The sequence below is a fragment of the Homo sapiens genome, chromosome 15 (assembly GCF_000001405.40).
Source record: "Homo sapiens chromosome 15, GRCh38.p14 Primary Assembly".
NCBI classification, from domain to species: domain Eukaryota; kingdom Metazoa; phylum Chordata; class Mammalia; order Primates; family Hominidae; genus Homo; species Homo sapiens.
In genome coordinates, this window is record NC_000015.10 from 73,212,045 (window position 1) to 73,238,404 (window position 26,360).

The 26,360-nt window shown below is 39.7% G+C and overlaps 1 protein-coding gene across 29 annotated transcripts in view, besides 1 other annotated feature; it reads left to right on the plus strand.

Annotated features, from left to right (window-relative positions):
* Positions 1-26,360, plus strand: part of NEO1 (neogenin 1) — a 253,515-nt gene that overhangs the window by 160,353 nt on the left and 66,802 nt on the right. For 15 of the 29 annotated variants that reach the window (XM_047432591.1, XM_011521628.3, XM_011521633.4 and 12 more), the window contains exon 9: positions 24,243-24,462. In XM_047432591.1, the coding sequence (XP_047288547.1) occupies positions 24,243-24,462 (220 nt within the window). The remainder of the gene's footprint in view (positions 1-24,242; positions 24,463-26,360) is intronic. The other 14 variants (XM_047432586.1, XM_047432593.1, XM_047432596.1 and 11 more) reach the window with 1 other exon arrangement.
* Positions 13,175-14,374: an enhancer, noted in NCBI's record as "MED14-independent group 3 enhancer chr15:73517560-73518759 (GRCh37/hg19 assembly coordinates)". NCBI's record gives its function as "activates an origin of replication core promoter dependent on BRD2, BRD4, P300/CBP and CDK7 cofactors, and independent of MED14, by STARR-seq in HCT116 cells {active_cell/tissue: HCT116}" and the evidence as "EXISTENCE:reporter gene assay evidence [ECO:0000049][PMID:35650434]".

Below are 26,360 nucleotides of genomic sequence, written 5' to 3' on the forward strand. Positions count from 1 at the left end.
ATCGGGGTACATGATATCAGCATGTCCTGTTATTTGGTAACGTTAACACTGATCATGTGGTTAAGGTGGTTTTTGCCAGTCTTCTTGCAGTCATCTCTGAGCCCAGAGCCTCTCTGATTTATTTAGTTTCTCCTGAGTGTAAATCTCCTATTGCCAAGGGTGAGGGATTTGGAGATTTAAAGCTCTTCTTACAGGAGCTTTCAAATAATTCCTCCATCCCCCATATCATCCTTTCCTCCTGAAGTGCTGCTGATTCCTGAAGGTCAGTTGGCTTGAGGCTCACCTGTCTGTCCCTTTGGAGGTACTTAGATTGACTCTTTCCCGTGAAATAATTTACTTTTCTTCTATCCACCTTCTTCTTTCATATATTATAGATTAGGATTACAATCCAAAATATCTCTCAGTTTTATCAGAAATGGAGTTTGTGTTCCTATTTCTTGTCCTGTTTGTTGTTTGGGTGTATTTATGAAGTGGTGGACCCAGAAATGTATTCGACCTTCCATGCTAAAACTGAAGCTAAAAATAGCTTTTTCAGAAGACAGTATTTGGCATCATTTCTCAGGCATTCAAATACAAACTTTTGACTCAGCATTTCCACTTCTAGCAATTTGTCTTACAGAAATATTTACACATGGACCCAAAGATAACATGTATAGGAAAGTTTATAGAAGCATTGCTGATAGTAGCAAAAAAAAAGTAATGGAAACAGCCCAAAAAAAAAGGAAAAACAAGGGAATGATTAAATAAATGGTGGTATATCTATATTGTAGAATACTATTCAGCAATTAGAAATAATGAGGTTTGTCTTTATGTACTGTTATGGGAACCTCCTAAAGACATTACATCATATAGCAGTTTGTAAAGCAACATGTTTGGTATCATTTCATTCCCATATTTATGTGTATATAAAAGTGTGTCATTGAAATGAAAAATATTTGAAAGAATATGCGCCAAACTATTAATAGCAGTGTTTTGGAGGTCATCAAAAGGGAACCATAATCTTTGTATACTTCTTAAACTTTGTATACTTCTGTACCATATGTATTATTTTTATAACAAGCATATTGCATTTTGATTTTTCAATAAAAAGATGAAATAGACTACCTACAGCAGTAGTTGAGCAACCACTGGAGGTTTTCAGGCATGGGCTCTTTTTGTTGTTGTTGTTGTTGGTTGAATTTGAATGTCATTCCTGCATTGGTCATTTATTGGATTTCTCTGTAGCATTTATTTATTTTCATTTTTCCGTAAGTTATTAGGGTACAGGTGGTATTTGGTTACATAAGTTCTTTAGTGGTGATCTGTGAGATTTTGGTTCACCCATCACCTGAACAGTATACAATGCACCATATTTGTAGTCTTTTGTCCCTCGCCTCCCTCCCACCATTCTCCCCAAGTCCCCAAAGTCCATATCATTCTTAATGCCTTTGCGTCCTCATAGCTTAGCTCCCACATGTCGGTGAGAACATTTGATGTTTGGTTTTCCATTCCTGAGTTACTTCACTTTGAATAATAGCCTCCAGTCTCATCCAGGTCACTGCAAATGCTGTTAATGCATTCCTTTCTGTGGCTGAGTAGTATTCCATCGTATAAATATACCACAGTTTCTTTATCCACTCATTGAGTAATGGGCATTTGGGTTGGTTCCACGATTTTACAGTTGCGAATTGTGCTGCTATAAACGTGCACATGAAAGTATCTTTTTCATATAATGACTTATTTTCCTCTGGGTAGATACCCAGTAGTGGGATTGCTGGATCAAATGGTAGTTCTACTTTTAATTCTTCAAGAAATCTCCATACTGTTTTCCATAGTGGTTGTATTAGTTTACATTCCCATCAGCAGTATAGAAGTGTTCCCTGTTCACCGCATCCATGACAACATCTACTGTTTTTTGATTTTTTGATTATGGCCATTCTTGCAGGAGTAAGGTGGTAGCGCATTGTGGTTTTGATTTGCATTTCCCTGATCATTAGTGATGTTGAGCATTTTTTCGTATGTTGGCCATTTGTGTATCTTCATTTGAGAATTGTCTGTTCATATCCTTAGCCCACTTTTTGATGGGATTTTGTTTTCTTACTGTTTTGTTTAAATTTTTTGTCGATTCTGGATGTTAGTCCTTTGTCAGCTTGTTAGTCCTTTGTCAGATTGTGAAGCTTTTCTCCCACTCTGTGGGTTGTCTGTTTACTCTGCTGACTGTTACTTTTGCTGTGTAAAAGCTCTTTAGTTTAATTAAGTCCCAACTATTTATTTTTGTTTTTATTGCATTTGCATTTGGGTTCTTGGTCATGAAATCCTTGCCTAAGCCAATGTCTAGAAGGGTTTTTCCATGTTATCTTCTAGAATTTTTATAGTGTCAGGTCTTAGATTTAAGTCCTTAATCCATTTTGAGTTGATTTTCATATAAGGTGAGAGTTGAGGATCCAGTTTCATTCTCCTACATGTGGCTAGCCAATTATCCCAGCACCATTTGTTGAAAAGGGTGTCCTTTCCCCACTTCACGTTTTTGTTTGCTTTGTCAAAGATCAGTTGGCTGTTAAGTATTTGGGTTTGTTTCCAGGTTCTCTATTCTGTTCCATTGGTCTGTGTGCCTATTTTTTTAGCAGTACCATGCTGTTTTGGTGACTATGGCCTTATAGTATAGTTTGAAATCAGGTAGTGTGATGCCTCCAGATTTGTTCTTTTTGCTTAGTCTTGCTTTGGCTATGTGGGCTTTTTTGTTTGTTTGTTTCATATGAATTTTAGAATTGTTTTTTCTAATTTCGTAAAGAATGATGGTGGCATTTTGAATGGGGATTGCATTGAATTTGTAGATTGCTTTTGGCACTATGATCATTTTCACAATATTGATTCTATGCATCCATGAGCATGGGATGCATTTCCATTTGTTTGTGTTGTCTGTGATTTCTTTCAGCAGTGTTTTGCAGTTTTCCTTGTAGAGGTCTTTCACCTCCCTGATTAGGTAAATTCCAAAGTATTTTGAGTTTTGCAGCTATTATAAAAGGGGTTGAGTTCTTGATTTGATTCTCTGCTTGGTTGCTGTTGATGTATAGAAGAGCTATTGATTTATGTACATTAATCTTGTATCCAGAAACTTTGCTGAATTCTTTTATCAGTTCTAGGAGCTTTCTGGAGGAGTCTTTAGGGTTTTCAGCGTAAACTATCATATCATCAGCAAACAGTGACAGTTTGACTTCCTCTTTACCGATTTGGATGCCCTTTATTTCTTTCTCTTGTCTGATTTCTCTGGCTAGGACTTTCCAGTACTGTGTTGAAAAGAAGTGGTGAGAGTGGGCATTCTTGTCGTGTTCCTATTTTCAGAGGGAATGCTTTCAACTTTTCCCCATTCAGTATTATATTGGCTGTGGGTTAGTCACAGATGGCTTTTATTACATTGAAGTATGTCCCTTGTATGCTGATTTGCTGCTAACAATTTTAATCATAAAGGGATACTGGATTTTGTCAAATGCTTTCTCTGCATCTATTGAGAAGATCACATGATTTTTGTTTTTAATTCTGTTTATGTGGTTTATCACATTTAATTCACTTGCGTATGTTAAACCATCTCTGCATCCCTAGTATGAAACACACTTGATCATGGTGGATTATCTTTTTGATAAATTGTTGGATTTGGTTAGCTAGTATTTTGTTACGGATTTTAGCATCTATGCTAATCAAGGATATTGGTCTGTAGTTTTCTTTTTTGGTTATGTCCTTTCCTGGCTTTGGTATTAGGCTGATGCTGGCTTCATAGAATGAATTAGGGAGGGTTCCCTTTTTCTCAATATTGTGGAATAGTGTCAAAAGGATTGGTACCAATTCTTCTTTGAATGTCTGATAGAATTCTACTGTGAAATCTGTCTTGTCCTGGACATTTTTTTTGTTGGTAATTTTTTTTTAATTATACTTTAAGTTTTAGGGTACATGTGTACAATGTGCAGGCTAGTTACATATGTATACATGTGCCATACTGGTGCACTGTACCCACTAACTCGTCATCTAGCATTAGGTATATCTCCCAGTGCTATCCCTCCCCCCTCCCCACACCCCACAACAGTCCCCAGAGTGTGATGTTCCCCTTCCTGTGTCCATGTGTTCTCATTGTTCAATTCCCACCTATGAGTGAGAATATGCAGTGTTTGGTTTTTTGTTCTTGTGATAGTTTACTGAGAATGATGATTTCTAATTTCATCCGTGTCCCTACAAAAGACATGAACTCATCATTTTTTATGGCTGCATAGTATTCCATGGTGTATATGTGCCACATTTTCTTAATCCAGTCTATCATTGTTGGACATTTGGGTTGGTTCCAAGTCTTTGCTATTGTGAATAGTGCCGCAATAAACATACATGTGCATGTGTCTTTATAGCGGCATGATTTATACTCCTTTGGGTATATACCCAGTAATGGGATGGCTGGGTCAAATGGTATTTCTAGATCTAGATCCCTGAGGAATAGCCACACTGACTTCCACAATGGTTGAACTAGATTACAGTCCCACCAACAGTGTAAAAGTCTTCCCCTTTCTCCACATCCTCTCCAGCACCTGTTGTTTCCTGACTTTTTAATGATTGCCATTCTAACTGGTGTGAGATGATATCTCATTGTGGTTTTGATTTGCATTGCTCTGATGGCCAGTGATGGTGAGCATTTTTTCATGTGTTTTTTGGCTGCATAAATGTCTTCTTTTGAGAAGTGTCTGTTCATGTCCTTCGCCCACTTTTTGATGGGGTTGTTTTTTTCTTGTAAATTTGTTTGAATTCATTGTAGATTCTGGATATTAGCCCTTTGTCAGATGAGTAGATTGAGAAAATTTTCTCCCATTCTGTAGGTTGCCTGTTCACTCTGATGGTAGTTTCTTTTGCTGTGCAGAAGCTCTTTAGTTTAATTAGATCCCATTTGTCAATTTTGGCTTTTGTTGCCATTGCTTTTGGTGTTTTAGACATGAAGTCCTTGCCCATGCCTGTGTCCTGAATGGTAATGCCTAGGTTTTCTTCTAGGGTTTTTATGGTTTCAGGTCTAACATTTAAGTCTTTAATCCATCTTGAACTGATTTTTGTATAAGGTGTAAGGAAGGGATCCAGTTTCAGCTTTCTACATATGGCTAGCCAGTTTTCCCAGCACTATTTATTAAATAGGGAATCCTTTCCCCATTGCTTGTTTTTCTCAGGTTTGTCAAAGATCAGATAGTTGTAGATATGCAGTGTTATTTCTGAGGGCTCTGTTCTGTTCCATTGATCTATATCTCTGTTTTGGTACCAGTACCATGCTGTTTTGGTTACTGTAGCCTTGTAGTATAGTTTGAAGTCAGGTAGTGTGATGCCTCCAGCTTTGTTCTTTTGGCTTAGGATTGACTTGGCGATGCGGGCTCTTTTTTGGTTCCATATGAACTTTAAAGTAGTTTTTTCCAATTCTGTGAAGAAAGTCATTGGTAGCTTGATGGGGATGGCATTGAATCTATAAATTGCCTTGGGCAGTATGGCCATTTTCACGATATTGATTCTTCCTATCCATGAGCATGGAATGTTCTTCCATTTGTTTGTATCCTCTTCTATTTCATTGAGCAGTGGTTTGTAGTTCTCCTTGAAGAGGTCCTTCACGTCCCTTGTAAGTTGGATTCCTAAGTATTTTATTCTCTTTGAAGCAATTGTGAATGGGAGTTCACTCATGATTTGGCTCTCTGTTTGTTATTGGTGTATAAGAATGCTTGTGATTTTTGTACATTGATTTTGTATCCTGAGACTTTGCTGAAGTTGCTTATCAGCTTAAGGAGATTTTGGGTTGAGACAATGGGGTTTTCTAGATATACAATCATGTCATCTGCAAACAGGGACAAATTGACTTCCTCTTTTCCTGATTGAATACCCTTTATTTCCTTCTCCTGCCTAATTGCCCTGGCCAGAACTTCCAACACTATGTTGAATAGGAGTGGTGAGAGAGGGCATCCCTGTCTTGTGCCAGTTTTCAAAGGGAATGCTTCCAGTTTTTGCCCATTCAGTATGATAGTGGCTGTGGGTTTGTCATAGATAGCTTTTATTATTTTAGATACGTCCCATCAATACCTAATTTATTGAGAGTTTTTAGCATGAACGGCTGTTGAATTTTGTCAAAGGCCTTTTCTGCATCTGTTGAGGTAATCATGTGGTTTTTGTCTTTGGTTCTGTTTATATGCTGGATTACATTTATTGATTTGCGTATATTGAACCAGCCTTGCATCCCAGGGATGAAGCCCACTTGATCATGGTGGATAAGCTTTTTGATGTGCTGCTGGATTCGGTTTGCCAGTATTTTATTGAGGATTTTTGCATCAATGTTCATCAAGGATATTGGTCTAAAATTCTCTTTTTTGGTTGTGTCTCTGCCCAGCTTTGGTATCAGGATGATGCTGGCCTCATAAAATGAGTTAGGGAGGATTCCCTCTTTTTGTATTGATTGGAATAGTTTCAGAAGGAATGGTACCAGTTCCTCCTTGTACCTCTGGTAGAATTCGGCTGTGATTCCATCTGGTCCTGGACTCTTTTTGGTTGGTAAGCTATTGATTATTGCCACAATTTCAGCTCCTGTTATTGGTCTATTCAGAGATTCAACTTCTTCCTGGTTTAGTCTTGGGAGAGTGTATGTGTCGAGGAATTTATCCATTTCTTGTAGATTTTCTAGTTTATTTGCATAGAGGTGATTGTAGTATTCCCTGATGGTAGTTTGTATTTCTGTGGGATCGGTGGTGATATCCCCTTTATCATTTTTTATTGTGTCTATTTGATTCTTCTCTCTTTTTTTATTAGTCTTGCTAGCAGTCTATCAATTTTGTTGATCCTTTCAAAAAACCAGCTCCTGGATTCATTAATTTTTTGAAGGGTTTTTTGTATCTCTATCTCCTTCAGTTCTGCTCTGATTTTAGTTATTTCTTGCCTTCTGCTAGCTTTTGAATGTGTTTGCTCTTGCTTCTCTAGTTCTTTTAATTGTGATGTTAGGGTGTCAATTTTGGATCTTTCCTGCTTTCTCTTGTGGGCATTTAGTGCTATAAATTTCCCTCTACACACTGCTTTGAATGCGTCCCAGAGATTCTGGTATGTTGTGTCTTTGTTCTCGTTGGTTTCAAAGAACATCTTTATTTCTGCCTTCATTTCGTTATGTACCCAGCAGTCATTCAAGAGCAGGTTGTTCAGTTTCCATGTAGTTGAGCGGCTTTGAGTGAGATTCTTAATCCTGAGTTCTAGTTTGATTGCACTGTGGTCTGAGAGATAGTTTGTTATAATTTCTGTTCTTTTACATTTGCTGAGGAGAGCTTTACTTCCCAGTATGTGGTCAATTTTGTAATAGGTGTGGTGTGGTGCTGAAAAAAATGTATATTCTGTTGATTTGGGGTGGAGAGTTCTGTAGATGTCTATTAGGTCTGCTTGGTGCAGAGCTGAGTTCAATTCCTGGGTATGCTTGTTGACTTTCTGTCTCGTTGATCTGTCTAATGTTGACAGTGGGGTGTTAAAGTCTCCCATTATTAATGTGTGGGAGTCTAAGTCTCTTTGTAGGTCACTCAGGACTTGCTTTATGAATCTGGGTGCTCCTGTATTGGGTGCATATATATTTAGGATAGTTAGCTCTTCTTGTTGAATTGATCTCTTTACCATTATGTAATGGCCTTCTTTGTCTCTTTTGATCTTTGTTGGTTTAAAGTCTGTTTTATCAGAGACTAGGATTGCAACCCCTGCCTTTTTTTGTTTTCCATTTGCTTGGTAGATCTTCCTCCATCCTTTTATTTTGAGCCTATGTGTGTCTCTGCACGTGAGATGGGTTTCCTGAATACAGCACACTGATGGGTCTTGACTCTTTATCCAATTTGCCAGTCTGTGTCTTGTAATTGGAGCATTTAGTCCATTTACATTTAAAGTTAATATTGTTATGTGTGAATTTGATCCTGTCAGTATGAGGTTAGCTGGTTATTTTGCTCGTTAGTTGATGCAGTTTCTTCCTAGTCTCGATGGTCTTTACATTTTGGCATGGTTTTGCAGCAGCTGGTACCGGTTGTTCCTTTCCATGTTTAGTGCTTCCTTCAGGAGCTCTTTTAGGGCAGGCCTTGTGGTGACAAAATCTCTCAGCATTTGCTTGTCTGTAAAGGATTTTATTTCTCCTTCACTTATGAAGTTTAGTTTGGCTGGATATGAAATTCTGGGTTGAAAATTCTTTTCTTTAAGAATGTTGAATATTGGCCCCCACTCTCTTCTGGCTTGTATGTAGAGTTTCTGCCGAGAGATCCACTGTTAGTCTGATGGGCTTCCTTTTATGGGTAACCTGACCTTTCTCTCTGGCTGCCCTTAACATTTTTTCCTTCATTTCAACTTTGGTGAATCTGACAATTATGTGTCTTGGAGTTGCTCTTCTCGAGGAGTATCTTTGTGGCATTCTCTGTATTTCCTGAATCTGAATGTTGGCCTGCCTTGCTAGATTGGGGAAGTTCTCCTGGATAATATCCTGCAGAGTGTTTTCCAACTTGGTTCCATTCTCCCTGTCATTTTCAGGTACACCAATCAGACGTAGATTTGGTCTTTTCACATAGTCCCATATTTCTTGGAGGATTTGTTCGTTTCTTTTTATTCTTTTTTCTCTAAACTTCCCTTCTCGCTTCATTTCCTTCATTTCATCTTCATCGCTGATACCCTTTCTTCCAGTTGATTGCATCAGCTCCTGAGGCTTCTGCATTCTTCACGTAGTTCTCGAGCCTTGCTTTCAGCTCCATCAGCTCCTTTAAGCACTTCTCTGTATTGGTTATTATAGTTATACATTCGTCTAAATTTTTTTCAAAGTTTTCAACTTCTTTGCCTTTGGTTTGAATTTCCTCCTGTAGCTTGGAGTAGTTTGATCGTCTGAAGCCTTCTTCTCTCAACTCATCAAAGTCATTCTCTATCCAGCTTTGTTCCATTGCTGGTGAGGAACTGGGTTCCTTTGGAGGAGGAGAGGCGCTCTGCTTTTTAGAGTTTCCAGTTTTTCTGCTCTGTTTTTTCCCCATCTTTGTGGTTTTATCTACTTTTGGTCTTTGATGATGGTGATGTACAGATGGATTTTTGGTGTGGATGTCCTTTCTGTTTGTTAGTTTTCCTTCTAACAGACAGGACCCTCAGCTGCAGGTCTGTTGGAGTTTGCTAGAGGTCCACTCCAGACCCTGTTTGCCTGGGTATCAGCAGCAGTGTCTGCAGAACAGCGGTTTTTCGTGAACCACGAATGCTGCTGTCTGATTGTTCCTCTGGAAGTTTTGTCTCAGAGGAGTACCCGGCCGTGTGAAGTGTCAGTCTGCCCCTACTGGAGGGTGCCTCCCAGTTAGGCTGCTCAGGGGTCAGGGGTCAGGGACCCACTTGAGGAGGCAGTCTGCCCGTTCTCAGATCTCCAGCTGCGTGCTGGGAGAACCACTGCTCTCTGCAAAGCTGTCAGACAGGGACATTTAAGTCTGCAGAGGTTACTGCTGTCTTTTTGTTTGTCTGTGCCCTGCCCCCAGAGGTGGAGCCTACAGAGGCAGACAGGCCTCCTTGAGCTGTGGTGGGCTCCACCCAGTTCAAGCTTCCGGGCTGCTTTGTTTACCTAAGCAAGCCTGGGCAATGGCTGGCGCCCCTCCCCAAGCCTTGCTGCTGCCTTGCAGTTTGGTCTCAGACTGCTGTGCTAGCAAACGGCGAGACTCTGTGGGCGTGGGACCCTCTGAGCCAGGTGCGGGATATAATCTCCTGGTGCGCCGTTTTTTAAGCCCGTCAGAAAAGCGCAGTATTCAGGTGGGAGTGACCCAATTTTCCAGGTGCCGTCTGTCACCCCTTTCTTTGACTAGGAAAGGGAACTCCCTGACCCCTTGCGCTTCCTGAGTGAGGCAATGCCTCACCCTGCTTCGGCTCGCGCACGGTGCGCTGCACCCACTGACCTGCGCCCACTGTCTGGCACTCCCTAGTGAGATGAACCCGGTACCTCAGATGGAAATGCAGAAATCACCCATCTTCTGCGTCGCTCACGCTGGAAGCTGTAGACCGGAGCTGTTCCTATTCGGCCATCTTCACTCCTCCCCCTGTTGGTAATTTTTTTTTTTTTTTTTTTTTTTTTTTTTTTGAGACAGAGTCTTGCTCTGTCTCCCAGGCTGGAGTGCAGTGGCGCAATCTTGGCTCACTGCAAGCTCCATCTCCTGGGTTCATGCCATTCTCCTGCCTCAGCCTCCCGAATAGCTGGGACTACAGGCACCCACCATCACACCCAGCTAATTTTTTGTATTTTTAGTAGAGACGGGGTTTCACCGTGTTAGCCAGGATGGTCTCAATCTCCTGACCTCGTGATCCGCCCGCCTCAGCCTCCCAAAGTCCTGGGATTACAGGTGTGAGCCACCGTGCCTGGCGGTAATTTTTAAATTACCATTTCAATCTCGCTGCTTGTTATTGATCTATTTAGAGTATCTAATTCCTGATTAAAGCTAGGAGGGTTGTACTTTTCCAGGAATTTATCCATCCCTTCTAGGTTTTCTAGTTTATGTGCATAAAGGTGTTCATAGTAGTCTTGAATGATCTTTTGTATTTCAGTGGTGTCAGTTTTAATTATTCCTGTTTCATTTCTTAATGAGATTTTTTGGATTTTCTCTTTTCTTGGTTAATTTTGCTTATGGTCTGTTGGTTTTATTTATCTTTTCGAAGAACCATAAATAAATTGTTCTTTGATGTAAACCAAAATAAATTTTAATTTATCTTTTGTATTTTTTTGTTTGTTTCAGTTTCATTTAGTTCTGCTCTGATCTTGGTACTTTCCTTGCTTCCACCGGGTTTGGGTTTGGTTTGTCCTTATTTCTCTAGTTCCTTGAGGTGTGACCTTAGAATGTCAGTTTGTGCTCTTTCAGTCTCTGATGTAGGCGTTTAGGGCTATGAACTTTCCTTTTAGCACTCCCTTTGCTGTATCCCAGAGGTCTTGTTAGATTGTGTCATTATTGTCATTCAGTTTGAAGAATTTTAAAATTTCCATCTTGATTTCGCTTTTGAACCAAAGCAGGTTTTGAACCTGCTCTTTCAGGAGCAGGTTATTTAATTTCCATGTATTTGCATGGCTTTGAAGGTTCCTTTTGAAGTTGATTTCCAGTTTTATTCCACTGTGGTCTGAGAGAGTGCTTGATATAATTTCAGTTTTCTTAGATTTATTGAGGCTCACTTTATGGCCTATCATGGAGAAAGTTCCATGCCCTGTTGAATAGAATGTGTATTCTGTGGTTGTTGGATGAAATGTTCTGTATATATCTGTTAAGTCCATTTGTTCCAAGGTATAGTTTAAATCTATTGTTTCTTTGTTGACTTTCTGTCTTGATGACCCATCTAGTGCTGTCAGTGGAGTATTGAAGTCCCCCACTATTATTTTGTTGCTGTCTATCACATTTCTTAGGTCTGTTAGTAATTGTTTTATAAATTTGGGAGCTCCAGTGTTAGGTGCATATATGTTTAGGATTGTGATATTTTCCTGTTAGACAAGGCCTTTTACCATTATATAATGTCCCTCTTTGTCTCTTTTAACTGCTGTTGCTTTAAAGTTTGTTTTGTCTGATATAAGAATAGCTACCCCTGCTCGCTTTTGGTGTCCATTTGCATGCAATGCCTTTTTCCACCCCTTTAAGTTCATATGAGTCCTTATGTGTCAGGTGAGTCTCCTGAAGGCAGCAGATTGTTGGTTGGTGAGTTCTTATCCATTCCGCAGTTGTGTATCTTTTAAGTGGAGCATTTAGGCCATTTACATTCAGTGTTCATATTGAGATGTGAGGTACCATTACATGCATCGTGCTATTTGTTGCCAGTGTACCTTGGTTTTTTGTTTTTTGTTTTTGCTTTTTAACTTGTACTTTTGTTTTATAGATCTTGTGTGATTTATGCTTTAAAGACGTTCTGCTTTGATGTGTTTCCAGGATTTGATTCAAGATGTAGAGCTCCTTTTAGCGGTCTCGTAGAGGTGGCTTGGGTAGTGGTGAGTTCTTTCAGCATTTGCTTGTCTGGAAAAGACTGTATCTTTCCTTCATATGTGATGCTTAGTTTCACTGGATACAAAATTCTTGGCTGATAATTGTTATGTTTGAGGAGGCTGAAGATAGGGCCCCAATCCCTTCTAGCTTCTAGGGTTTCTGCTGAGAAATCTTCTGTTAATCTGATAGGTTTTCCTTTGTAGGTTACCTGGTGCTTCTGTCTCACAGCTCTTAAGATTCTTTCCTTAGTCTTAACTGTAGATAAGTTAAGCACACTGATGACAGTGTGCTTAGGTGATGATCTTTTTGCAATGAATTTCCCAGGTGTTTTTTGTGCTTCTTGTATTTGGATGTCTAGGTCTCTAGTAAGGCCAAAGAAGTTTCCCTCGAACATTTTCCAAATATGTTTTCCAAACTTTCAGATTTCTCTTCTTCCTCAGGAACACCAATTATTCTTAGGTTTGGTTGTTTAACATAATCCCAGACTTCCTGGAGGCTTTGTTCATATTTTCTTATTCTTTTTTCTTTGTCTTTGTTGGATTGGGTTAATTGGAAGACCTTGTCTTTGAGCTCTCAATTTCTTTCTTCTACTTGTTCGATTCTATTGCTGAGACTTTCCAGAGCATTTTGCATTTCTATAAGTGTGTCCAATGTTTCCAGAATTTTTTGTTTTTTCTTTATGCTATCTCCTTGAATATTTCTCTCTTCACTTCTTGTATCATTTTTTGGATTTCCTTGCATTGAGCTTCACCTTTCTCTGGTGCCTCCCTGATTAACTTAATTAACCTCCTGCATTCTTTTTCAGGTAAATAGGGATTTCTTCTTGGTTTGGATCCACTGCTGGTGAACTAGTATGATTTTTTGGGGGGGGTGTTAAAGAGCCTAGTTTTGTCGTATTACCAGAGTTGGTTTTCTGGTTCCATCTCATTTGGGTAGGTTCTGTCAGAGGGAACATCTAGAGCTGAAGGTTGTTGTTCAGGTACTTTGGTCCCATGGGGTGTTCCCTTGATGTAGTCTCTCCCCCTTTTCCTATGGATGTGGCTTCCTGAGAGCCAGGCTGCAGTGATTGTTACCTCTTTTCTGGGTCTAGCCACCCAGCAAGTCTATCCAGCTCCAGGCTGGTACTGGGGGTTGTCTGCACAGAGTCCTGTGATGTGAACCGTCTATGGGTTTCTCAGCTGCGGATACCAGCACCTGTTCCAGTGGAGGTGGCAGGGGGGTGAAATGGACTCTGTGAGAGTTCTTAGCTTTGGTGGTTTAATGCTCTATTTTTGTGCTGGTTGCCCTCCTGCCGGGAGTTTGTACTTTCCAGAGAGCATCAGCTGTGGTAGTATAGAGAGGAACCAGAGGTGCGCGGGGTCCTAGAACTTCCAAGATTATATACCCTTGTCTTCAGCTACCAGAGTGAGTAGGAAAGGACCATCAGGAGGGGGCGGGGCTAGATGGTGTCTGAGCTCAGACTCTCCTTGGGCGCGTCTCCCTGCGGCTGCTGTGGAGGATGGGGGTGAGTTAATGGAGTTGTGTACCTAGGAGCATTATGGCTGCCTCTGCTGAGTCATGCAGGTTGTCAGGGAAGTGGTGGAAAGCCGCAGTCACAGGCCTCACCCAGCTCCCACGCAAACCAAAGGGCCAGTCTCATTCTCACTGTGCCCCATCTAACAGCCCCGAGTCTGCCAGCAGTTGGGGAGCCAGGCTTGAGAACTTGCCCCAGGCTGCCTGCCTCCCAGCTGTGAAAGAAAAGGGCTTGATTCTTCCCCAGCCTGTGGAGTCTGCACACCTGATTCGCACCCTTTCCCGAGTTCTGGCCAGGAGGGTTCTCCCCAGCTTCAAATTGTTACAAAGTTCAGCTGGAGATTTCCTTCTCCCTGTGGTGTTTTTCCCCACACTCCTCCGGTTGCCCTCCCAAAGGATCCCTGTGGTGCCAGTTAGGAATGGCCTGCCTGGGGACCTAGTGAGCTCCCGGGGCCTTTCTCGCTGCTTCCTCTACCCCTGTATTTTGCTTGGCTCGCTAAATTGACTCAGCTCCAGGTAAGGTCGGAAACTTCTCCCTCAAACAACCTTCAGTTTCTCCAGTGGGGATGTGTGTTCAGGAGAGGAGAATCTCCCTTTCCCACTTCCACAGTTGGGGCACTTGGGGCACTCACAGTATTTGGGGTGTCTCCCAGGTCCTGCATGAGCAATCCACTGCCTTCAGAATCCACTTCCTGTGGGTCCTCTCGGGATTTCTGGTTTGTTCTTGCAGTCAATCTGGAGCTTAAATTCACAGTGCGAGCCTCCGCACACTGCTCTGTCCGTCCAAGTCGGAGCTGCAGTCTAGTCCTGCCTCTCCCGTCTGCCATGGTGATCCAAAGAATGCCTGCATGGGCTCTTTTAAAGCGGCTCTCTGCTAGACAGTATCTCAGGAAGCATTTAATTCAGGGATGGATCCCCAGACTGGATTACTGTTTGGGGAAATAGGGATTTCATGATCAAATAAGAATGAGAAATGCTAGGTTAACAAACAGAAGAGGTGCTAGGAGTCATTAACATACTAATATGCATGGCAAATCTCTACAATCTCCCAAATTTGATTGTTGTTCTCTTTTTTATTTTACGGTATATGTGTTAACATTTCCCAAAAGTAATATTCTGTGGAAGTATACTTTTGTTCACACTGTTACTATGTTTGGAGTAATAAGCACCATGTAAATCTGACTCCGTTCTGAATAATGAATTCTGAATAATGTTAGAGTGAACATTCCTGGGAAATAACAATTTAGTAGATTCCTAATGAAGGGCCAGAGAGAAAGAATATTTCCCATGATACTTTCCTACCTTTCAAATGAGCTTAGAAATTTTTAAAGAAATTTCAAAACTATTTTCAAAGAAAGGTTATGAAAAAGGAACAAAATTTGGATTCCAAAAAGAAAATGTAAATGTACCTACTCACAGCTGTAGTTGGTGTGAGTGGGCGTCAAATTAGGATAACTGGGGATCTGCTTAACCAAGGGTGCAACATGCCTAGTGCAGAATTTAATGATCTCCACCTTCAGAAACTTTCAAATACATGTATTGGTTAAACTAATAATTATAGACTGTTACTAAGTGACACTTTATCAGTCACAAATCTAATGTATTGAAACTGGAACCGTCAACCACAGCATAGCTAGATTTTGAAAGTTAATTCTCAGAAATATTAGGAGCAGCTCTGATGACTTACTCAATATAAAGCCGGGTCAGGCCGGGCGCAGTGGCTCATACCTGTAATCCCAGCACTTTGGGAGGCCAAGACAGGCACATCACTTGAGGTCAGGAGTTCGAGACCAGCCTGACCAACATGGTGAAACCCCGTCTCTGCTAAAAATACAAAAATTAGCCGGGTATGGTGGCGCATGCCTATAATCCCAGCTACCCGGGAGGCTGACGCAGGAGAATTGCTTGAACCCAGGAGGCAGAGGCTGCAGTGAGCCGAGATCACACCACTGCACTCCAGCCTGGGCAACAGACTCCATCTCAAAAACAAACAAACAAAAAAGCCAGATCAGGAGAAACGTCATCATTCTTTAGGAACTTCCACGGAACAATTCAATTTCTGCTACTTACAACCCTGTGCAGGCCCTTAGGTTTCAGCGACTGGGCCAGTGTGAAGCTGCTGCCAAGCATTTGAGCAGCAGGTCAGAGCGGACAGCAATGCTCACATTTGAAAATGTAATACCTTTTCTCAAATAGATTTCCCAGTGGCCTTTGGCTTGATTCAGATTTACATGGTGTTTACATACTGTTCTAAACATAGTAGCAGTATGAACAAAGGTATAAAAGCTGTAAAGTTCCTTCTTGTTAAGTAACCAAGCAAATCAAGAGCACATCCTGTTTAGGAAATAAGCCTAGAAAGCGAGGATGGGACCAGTCTGGAGGACTTTGAACACTGTCCTGAGATGTTTAGACTTATTCTGGAGGCTGTTTGGTACAGTTACAATGGGTGAACTTTATGGTATGTAAATCATACTTCAGTAAAGCTGTTGAAAGAAAGACTGGATAGTTGAAACTATTAAACATCCTTTTTTTTCCTAGTGTAAAACAGCAATAGTTACACAGTCCTAGGACATTTCTTTTGCTCAAAACACCTGAGCTTAAAATCTGTCTGAAGTCTTCATAAAATTAAAGTGTCCAGAAATTATCAAAGACTTTTATAAATGCCAACCAGTCATCAAGGGCCCAAAGCAAACATGAAAAATACAGATCTGTAGGCCACATGTAGTAAAAACCTTTGTTTCTTAGAGTCAGGCTGGTTGCTTTCCCTTCTGCCACCAGAGTAGTTATCTCATTGCGCTCTTAATTTACATTTCCCTAATGACTAATGATGTCATTTTCATGTGCTTATTCTATGTTTTCTTTGATGAAATGACTATTCAAAGCTATTGCCTTTTTTTTTTTAACTTTGGTTGTTTTCTTAATGAGTTGTAAGAGTTCATTATGTATTTTGGGTATAAGTTTTTTTTTTTTTTATCAGATACATGATTTGGAAATATTGTCTGCCAGTCTGTTGCTTTTCATTTACTTAGTTTTGGGTTGTTTTTTGTTGTTGTTGTTGTTTTTGTTTTGTTTTTTTCTGGGTTTTTTTTAGTGCAGAAGTATTTGTTTTTAATAGAATCCAATTTATCAGGGCATACTTTCTTTTATGTCTTGTGCGTTTGATGTAACGTATAAAAATTCTTTGCTAACTCAAGACATGAAGTCTTCTAGAAGTTTAGTTCTTAGATTAAGACTATGAGATATTTTGTTAATTTTTATATATGATGTGAGTTCATTACTTTGCATGTGGATATATTGTTGTCCCAGCACCAGTTGTTGAAAAGACTGTTCTTCCCACATTGAAATTTCTTGACACCTTGGCCAAAAATCAATTGACCACAAATATAAGGGTTTATTTCTGGACACTGAATTATCTCATTGATCGATGTGCCTATTCATATGTCTTGATTACTGTAGCTTTACAGTAAATTTTGAAATTAGTAAATTTTGAAGTACAGTAAATTTTGAAATCCTCCAACTTTTTTTGTTCTTTTTGATAATTGATTTGGCTATTCTAGGTCTTTTGCATTTCTTCTAGCATTTTGCATTTCTTCTAGCATGTTAATAGTTGCCTTATTAACAACTTTGAGTTGTTCAATTCATGAACATGGACTATCTATTTATTTAGATCTTCTTTAATTTCTCTCTGCAATGTGTTGTAATTTTTTCTTTGTACCAGTCTTACACTTCTTTTAGGTTTATTCCTGAGTATCTTAAAATTTATCCCTAGATATTTTTGTTAAATTTATTTCTAAGTATTTTAATTCTTTTTGATGCTATTGTGAGTGGAATTTGTGAATGGAATTGATTTCTTAATTTCATTTTTGGATTGTTCCTAAAATATAGAACTACAGTTGGTTTTCATATCCTCCGACCTTGCTAGCCTTATTTATTAGTTTTAGTTGTTTTTTTTTTTTTCAGTAGATTCATGAGGGTTTTCTGCATAGATAATTATGTCATTCACACATGAAAATAGTGTTATTTCTTCCTTTCCCATCAGTATTTCCTTTTTCTCTTTTTCTTGCCATTTTGCACTTGCTAGGACTTTTAGTACTAAGGAATGAGAAACTAATATCCTTGTCTTGTTTCTAATCTTAGGGAAAAAGCATTTAATCTTTCACCATTACATACAGTGCTCACTGTAGGCTTTTCAGGTTGAGGAATTTTACTTCTTTTCCTAGTTTGTTGAGAGTTTTTATCATGAATGGGTGTTTCATTTTGTCAAATGCTTTTTCTGTGTCTAGTGAGATAACTAGTGGTTTTTCTTTTTTCTCTTAATGTGATGTGTTTAATTGATTTTGGAACATTAAACTGTCTTGAATTCCTATGATAAATTCTACTTGGTCATGGCATATAATTTTTTAATGTGTTACCAAATGTGGCTTGCTAACATTTTGGTAAGGAGTTTTATACTATGATCATAAGGGATACTGGTCTGTTGCTTTCTTTTCATGTGTCGTGTTTCTTTCTTTTCTTTGTCGGGCTTTGATAACAGAGTAATACTGAACGCACAGGAATGAGTTGGGACATGTTTCTCCTTCTCTATTTCCTGAAAAAGTTTGTGAAGGATTAGTATTATTTCTCTTTTCAAATATTTGATAACATCCAGCAGTAAAGCCATTTGGACTTAGAATTTTCTTTGTATAGGAAGATTTTTACTTACTAATTCAGTTTCTCTATTATAGGTCGTTCAGACTTCATGTTTTTTCTTGATAGATTTGGCAGTTTATGTTCTTCTAAGAATTTTTCCCCTTCCTCTAATATGTCTGATTGGTTGGCAATTTTTTTTCCCAAAATATTCCATTAAAGCTTTTTTAGTTATCTGTAGGGTTGGTAGTATTGTACTATTGTCCCTTCTTGTATTCTTGATTTGAGTAACTTGTGTCTTCTCTTAGTTTCCTAGTCTTCTACCTGAGATAGAAGCTTAGGTAATTCATTTGAGACCTCTCTTCTTTCTGATGTAGGTAAAGCACTACATTTCCCTTAAAGCACCACTCTAGCTGCATCCTGTAATTTTTAATACATTGTGTTTTTATTTTTATAGTGTTAAAAAATTGTGTTTTTGAGGCAGAGTCTCACAATCACCCAGGCTGGACTGCAGTGGTACAATTATGACCCACTGCAGCCTCAACCTCCTGCATTCAAGTGATCCTCCTGCCTCAGCTTCTCAAGTAGCTGGGACTACAGGTGCACACCAGCATGCCTGGATAATTCTTTGTATTTTTTGTAGAGATGGGGTCTCACTATGTTGCCCAGGCTGGTCTTAAATTTCTGGGCTCAAGTGATCCACCACTTCAGCCTCCCAAAGTGCTGGGTTTATATAGGCATAAGCCACCATGCCTGGCCTGTTAAAAAAATTTTTTTAAATTTTTCTTATGATTTCTTCTTTGACCCTAGGATTGTTTAAGAGCATGTTTAATTTTCAAATATTTGGGGTTTTCTCAGATTTCTTTTTAATTCTGTCATTTTTTGCTTTCATATTTTGGGGCTTTTTTGTTAGATATGTATGCATTTATAATTATTATATTCAAAGAAGAAATAACATAATTCAATAATAATTGCAGATTTCAATATTCTGTCAAAAACTGCTAAAACTATTAGACAAAGTTAGGAAGGATATAAAATAGTTAAATAACGCTGTCAACCAGCTTGACCTAACTGACATTATGAATCTTCATAATCTTCTTTATAAGAATCTGCAGATACAGATTTTTTTCAGGCACACATGGAACAACCTCCAGGATAGACCACATGCTAGGACACAAAACAAGTCTCAATACATTTTAAAAGACCAAAATAATATATAGTGTGTTCTCTGACCACAACAGAATTAAATTAGATATCCACAGTAAGCCTGCTGTTTGTCTGGGGCCTGCTTCCTCTTGCTATAAAAGTAGTAAACAGGTCACATGTGGTGGCTCCTGCCTGTAATCCCAGCACTTTTGAGAGGCCGAAGTGGGTGGATTGCATGAGCTCAGGAGTTCAAGACCAGCCTGGGCAACATGGTGAAACCCCATCTCTACTAAAAGTACAAAAAATTAGCCAGGCGTGGATGTGCATGCCTGTGGTCCTAGCTGCTCAGGGAGGCTGAGGTGAGCCTGAGAGGCGGAGGCTGCAGTGAGCCATGATTGTGCCACTGCACTCCAGCCTGGGTGATAGAGCAAGACCCTGAATATGCAGGCATCCATCCTGGCCCCTCCGTATTGCCTTCATGGGACTTTGGGGGCATGGGAAACTGACCAAAACAAACGAGAAACTCTAGCTGCCTCCACTGCCATGAGTAATAAAGTTCTTTGTCTCTGATGCAGCACTTGTACCATCTGCCAGCACCCATGAATCAGTAATAAGCTAACTTGTTAGCTTATCAATAAGGTAAACTCTCAGATCCTGCTTAGTTCCTGACAGTTTCTTTAGTTCTTAGAATATATTTAAATAGCCACTTTGAAGTCTTTGTTAAATCCAGTATCTGAGGACATTCCAAGAAAGACATTTTGTAATGACTGCCTTTGTAATGACTGCCTTTTTTACCCCTTGATTATGAGTCACACTTTATTTCTTTGCATGTCTCTTCACTTTTGTTGAATATTGGATATTTTGGATAATAAATTGTAGCAACTGTGGATTCTGACTCTTCCTCCCACCCCCTAGCAGTTTTTCTTGTTTTGTTTGTTTAATAACTTGCCTGTACTAAATCTGTGATTTCTGCCTCTCCCAGGGTGTGCAACCACAGATGTTTTTGTTGAGTATTTAGTTTTGATTATCTTTTTATTTGCATTTTCTAAAAGTCTCTGTTTAGATTTTGCCCTGTGTCTGTATAGATTAGTGCTGAACCAAAGATTAGTCAGCAGTTATGCTCAAATACCTCAAGCCAATAAGCCTACCACTTTGAGCTGATGGGTCTTTGTGTGGTTTGGGGAGTGCATTCAAAATCTGGATTATTTTTTAGTTTGCCCAGCCTTTGCTTTCTACCGGGCTCTCTCAGTTGTCTTGTGAACACACACACACAGGTTTCATCTGCCGGGGGTGTGTGAGTGGCTTGGGCCTGCTGCAGTCCCTAGGGTACATACACATGGCCTTCAGTCAACCTAGGATATGTGCAGAGGTTACCAAGCCTTCTCACCACTTTCTCACCTCATGGAATACCTTGTTCCATGGCTAGTCTACCATCCATTGCTTGCCTCAATGAGATACAACCTCAGGCCAGCAGAGCACTGGCCCTTCCTATTCACTTGCCACCAGGATTGCTCCTCTAATTGACAACACTCCATATCAAATGAGCTCTTCTGGCAACAGCAGCAAAGCCACTGGTTTGTAGGGCCTGCGCTAGCCTGGTTGAACAATCACTCTAGCAGAGCTAGAGGGGGATGCCTCAGACACTGTTTGTGTGTGAAGTCTGGTAATTTTCATGAACAGATGCTTCTCAGCTTGTTATATGTCTTTGGTCAGTTTCCAGTTTTTGACAGTTTTTTTCCGCTTTATAGTTGCTTTGGGGGAAGAGGATTTGTCAGTCTCAAACCATCATGCCAGGAGTCTAAAGTCCCAATCTACATCATCTTGCCATTGATGCTAGTGTAACTTAACTGCCTGTTTGATACTCTGTGATAACATAAGTTGCTTTCTCTTACCTGCTCAGCTAGGATATGGAACAGCAGCAATAGAATCAACCTGGGGAAAGCTGATAGAGAACACTGGGGCCACAGTGGGCATGGATTTTTCCCATGGTTAATTAGGAATGATTTACAATGATCAGGCATTTTTTATACTTTTATTCCCTGTATAACTAATAAAACATTTGCTTTACAAATGGTATATCATTATATAAATGTTATTTATATACACTTTGTGTCAACCAAAGAGATTAAAATATTGCCTTTTGTAATGAGATTCTAGAAACATTGTCTTCATCGTACTCATGTTCTCCCTGAATTTCCTTCCATTTATTAATTCAATAAATGTACACTTGGTTATCTAAAGTATACAGAGGCATGTTGAGTGATTCCCAGATGAAATTGATACATATTTTGTCCTTAAGGAGCTTATAGATTCGTGGAAGTAATACAATGTAAACATGAAAAATGGAAATAGGGTGTGCTGGATGCCGTTAAAGAGTTATAGATCTGTGCTATGGAAGTTCAGTAGGGTAACTGAGTTTTCCCTATCTAAGTGATTCTGTTATCACTCATTACTCCCATCACCTCGTCCTCCCTGCTTGCATTCCCTCCCCAGCTGCTTTCCTACTGAAATCCTTATGTTGTTACTCATTCAAGCTAGTCATAGTAAATAACATGTACGCAGAGCTTCCACATGCACTTTTCTTGTTTGGTATTTGTCTGGTTCATATCAGCTTGGGGTTTAGGTAGGGAGCATTATTATTCCTAATTTACAGATAAGGAAACTGACATCAGAGTGATTTACCCAACCTCGCATATTAGAAGAGTCAAGTTTTGAACATAAGTCTTTGTACTCGAAGTCCTGGGCTCTTTCCGGTATGCTCTGCTGCCTCTCACACAGCAAACTTTCTCTCCTCTCTAGCCAGTAGATAGTTGGGAAGAATTAAGTTTGGTGAGTTGGGTCAGAATTGGAGGCAGCTTAGTGTGTTTCTAGATGGACATGCAAATGAGGCTGCAAAGCAAGACTGTTCAGGCTACTTTTTGAATCATTTCCCAATAAGGGTTTTTAATGACTTTTAATTTTACAATAATCGGAGATCCATATTTTCATTTGCATCTCATTTATTCCATAGGTGTTGAATTGTGACTTTAAACACAGCATATTCAAAACCAAATTCATAATCTCCCCCTCAATCTGTTGTCTTCTCTGTTAATGACACCTCAGGCTCCACAGTCTCCTAAGCTAGTAACTTGGAAGTCTTTGACTCCTTCCTAACCTTTATCTCAGCATCTAATCCTATCGTTTCCAGCCTACCTCATAGGGTTATTGTGTGAGTAAACTGACAAAATATATAAAGACAAACTCTGAAAGCTGTGAATGAGAGGTATTTATTTCCTCTAAGGCAGTGCATCTGTTGATGTGTACAGTACTACAAGGCCTCAGCAACCATTCAGAGTTAATGTTTTGTAGTGTTGACACTTGCTTTAGTGAAGCATGTACTTAACGTCGGGGCTAAAACTGCATTATCTTACATTCTTATAACAATCTGCACTCTTAAAAGCACTACCAAGGGAGGAGAAAAAAAAAGGGAGCATGAGAGAGAACAAGGCTCTCTTTTGTGATTTGCACAAGAACTGGAAGTCAAGTTTTCAGACTCTGCTTGGCTATATCCAGAGGTCTTTTAAACTGAAAACCAAAGTTGATTTTATTAATACCACTCCACCACTCATTCTCTGTGACCTAGGGCAAGTGATTTAGCAATGTCAGTCTCTACATATAAGTTAGAGATAATGATTGTACCTATTTTATAGAGCTGCTGTAAGGATTGAATGATCTATATAGAGAGCCAGAGTGCCATATGTAAGGTATTCAAGAAGTGGTAGCTATTGGATTACTCTTCTCCCTTTCCACCTATCTAGAGATTTTAGGTTGGTCCTCCTTTGCCATTTCCCTGAGATAGATAATTTATTTCACGTGGCGTATTTATTTAGACTGCATCACATTACACTCTCGCAGTTCACAGACATTTCCAGGAGGTTGTTGCTCCACCACTTCATTCAAAACTAGGTTCACGGTTTTCATGTTTTCCTCTCTACATCTCTCCTACTAATTTCCCTTTTAATGTTCGAACATGATTCTGATGAAGTCTTTCAGTTAAAAATTGTGAGATTAAACTTGTACTCTCTAACTCCGAAGTGAAAGAGATTTTAGGTTCAATATTAGGAATAAAATTCTACTATCAGGACTGTTGTTTTTGTTTTTCATCAGTAGCATGGGCTGCCTTGGAAGTTATGAAGTTACCCATGGCTACCGCTATACAAAAGTGGCTTTTGACTAGCAGCTTTGCCTCGCCACTGCTTCCTTTCTCCCATCCAGTCCTTGAGGTCTGCAAGCTGTTTCAGTATACATCGCAGTGAAGAGTGTAACAAACAGATTAGCTACCTGACTTGCAATTTTTTGGCTTTGGAATTTTTGGTTCAGGATTTTATACTGTCCTAGCTAAATGAATTGACAAAACAGCAAGGTATAACTTACAATGAAGAAGTTTATCAACCTTCCCCCGCAGGATTACCAAATACAGAGGTGCAGGGTTTAATATTAGACTAAAGTTGAAGATGTGGCCCTCAATTCTCCTGCAAAGGAGCTCTGCAGTGAAGTCACAATAGCCATGAGCCTCTCAGTGTAACTAGGGTCATCCATACTATTCCATATGTTAAAGTAGAAGAAAATAGTGAAGTCTTGTCATTTGCAAGACTTTTATGCAAAGTTTGACAGATGTTGCATGCTGCTTTCAGGATTAAGAAAATTACATGGGCACTGCTGTGCCTTCTGTGAGAAGTTTTATTCTCAGCTGTCACCCTCCTTGTCCCTTGCCCATAACCATTATAGTGGCCAGAAAGTCTGCTTGCTCTACAGTGATGTGTTTTGAATAGTGCCCATTAGTTTTCAGTAGTTACCCTGGCCTGCATGTTAGCCTTCAGTTTAATGGCCTTTTTTATGTTCATTCATTTTATTTTATTTCCCATCGTGGTTTTGTTTATTTCTTTTTTGTTTTTTGTTTTTTCTGTTCTCTTTTTTAAAACCGTCGTGGTTTGCCCTTCATATTCCCCAATGTTTGCACATGACAAGATGTTGCCATCCCAACATTACCTCCCACTTCACTGACCAGTGCCACTACTGACCATCTAGCACCAGCCACAACGGGACCACTGCCTTCAGCTCCTCGGGATGTCGTGGCCTCCCTGGTCTCTACCCGCTTCATCAAATTGACGTGGCGGACACCTGCATCAGATCCTCACGGAGACAACCTTACCTACTCTGTGTTCTACACCAAGGAAGGGATTGCTAGGTAAGTGCCTGTGTGTCTGCAGCCAGTTGGCTGCCTCTTGGTCACGGCAGCCTTGTCATGCTCACCCTGGCTCTTGGTATCTGTACCAATTTTTAGTCCAGAAAATAAGATCACTGAGATGCACCTTCCCTAATTTTAGGTCATTAAATAAACTCCCAAACAGACTAAAGTCCTGGTAGTCTCTCCTTTTCTGGGATGACTTAGGGAGAGGGTAGATACAGCTATTGAGGTGGACGTATTTAAATGTAAGAAGGAGTGCCCTTTTTTCATAAGATTCAGTCAGTATAAATTCTAGAGATTAAGGTAGACTTAATTTATTAAAGTAAACTTAAATGAATATTTGCCACACCCTTATGTGGTGTGGGCTGCGGAGCTCCAGGGGTTCTCCTTGATGGAATAAGAGTAGTTAGTGATGACTTTTCCTAAAATAGCATTTTCATTACATTCCTCTTCATTTCCACCCCCTCAGGAGCTCACATTGCTCATAGGGGAAGATCTATAATGTCCAGGCTGCTTTGTGCCACAGGCTGGCTTCACTTTATCTGTCCAACTTGCTTTTCCTTTTTCCCCAATGTAACTGACTTTCTAGTGAAACCAGTCTAATCACTATAGCCTTTTTTTCCAGTGTGTCCTCTTCAGTCACTTCTTGCCCCTTTCTCAGCTGAAGGTAAATTCAGTTAATCCTTCTTGGCCCAGGTTAAGCCCCATGAAGCTCTCAAAGATCTTTACCCACCTTTTCAGCACATAGAGCATTTCCCTTGTACGTGTATTTGTATCCCTAATATTGGCACTTGATTATGGTAATATGTGATATTTTACTACCTTAAGCTGTTATTCTTCAATTATGTTCTATGTATTTGTGCTGTTTTCCCAACCAGATTATAAACTCTTTGGAAGGAACCATGCCACATGCTGACTGTTCACACATTGCCGAGTAGTAAATTCCTTCACTGTGCTCTTCCAACCAGAATAAGAAAGCTAAGATACGTGTTTTAGTAGGAGCCCTAATACATCAGCTAAAGCTTGTATTTCCATTAGCATGCTTATAGTTGATGTACATTGTAGTTAATACCAGACTGGCAAGTTTAGCAAGTGCAGGACCCTTTCTTTAATACTCTCAAGAAGTCTAAGTGGCATAATTTAACACCAACAGATGGGAGTTACCTGAATGCTATACTGTGTGTTTTGAGTTTTACAAGGGTAGAGAAACATAGTTCTATACATAAAAAAAGGTAAGACATTCCTACCAAACAGCAAGTTTCAATATCACCATTAAAATATCTTCAATAGACTTTGAAATCTCATTGAAAATCTCATAAGCTTTCACAGAAGGAAGAAACCATTTAGTAATTCTGCGTAATAAGCTTTATTTCTGCAGTAGGTTTTTTGCTCTTATTGTGCGTTCTACCAGAAATGCATTTTCCTCACATGAGTTACATCTGGCTTCTTATCTATCATCTTTAGATGACATCTCCTCAGGCCTTCCCTGAATACCAACCCAAACTTAGCCCCTCGGTGACTGTCACACAGTGGGGTATCAGAGCCAGCCTGTTCCCAAGCTAATTGTTAAATGCTCGGGAAATTTTGCAAACCTAATGACATGACTTGGCAGCTTGAAATTGGGCATGGTGGGAGTGTTTACAGTGACAAATGCTGCAAACCAGAGCCAATTGTTAAACATTCACCAGAACACCACTGCTGTCACATCACCCTATTTTTTGGTATGTGTGTGGTATTTTTTTGTTTGTTTCGCTTTTAGTTTGGGTTTTTTTTTTTTTTTTTTTTTTTTTTTTTGAGAGCACTTACTACTCTCTGAAATTTTCTCTTTTATTAGCTTATTTATTCTGTCTGTCTTGTTCAATAAAATTCTCCAGCACCTGGAACAGAGCCTGGCATTT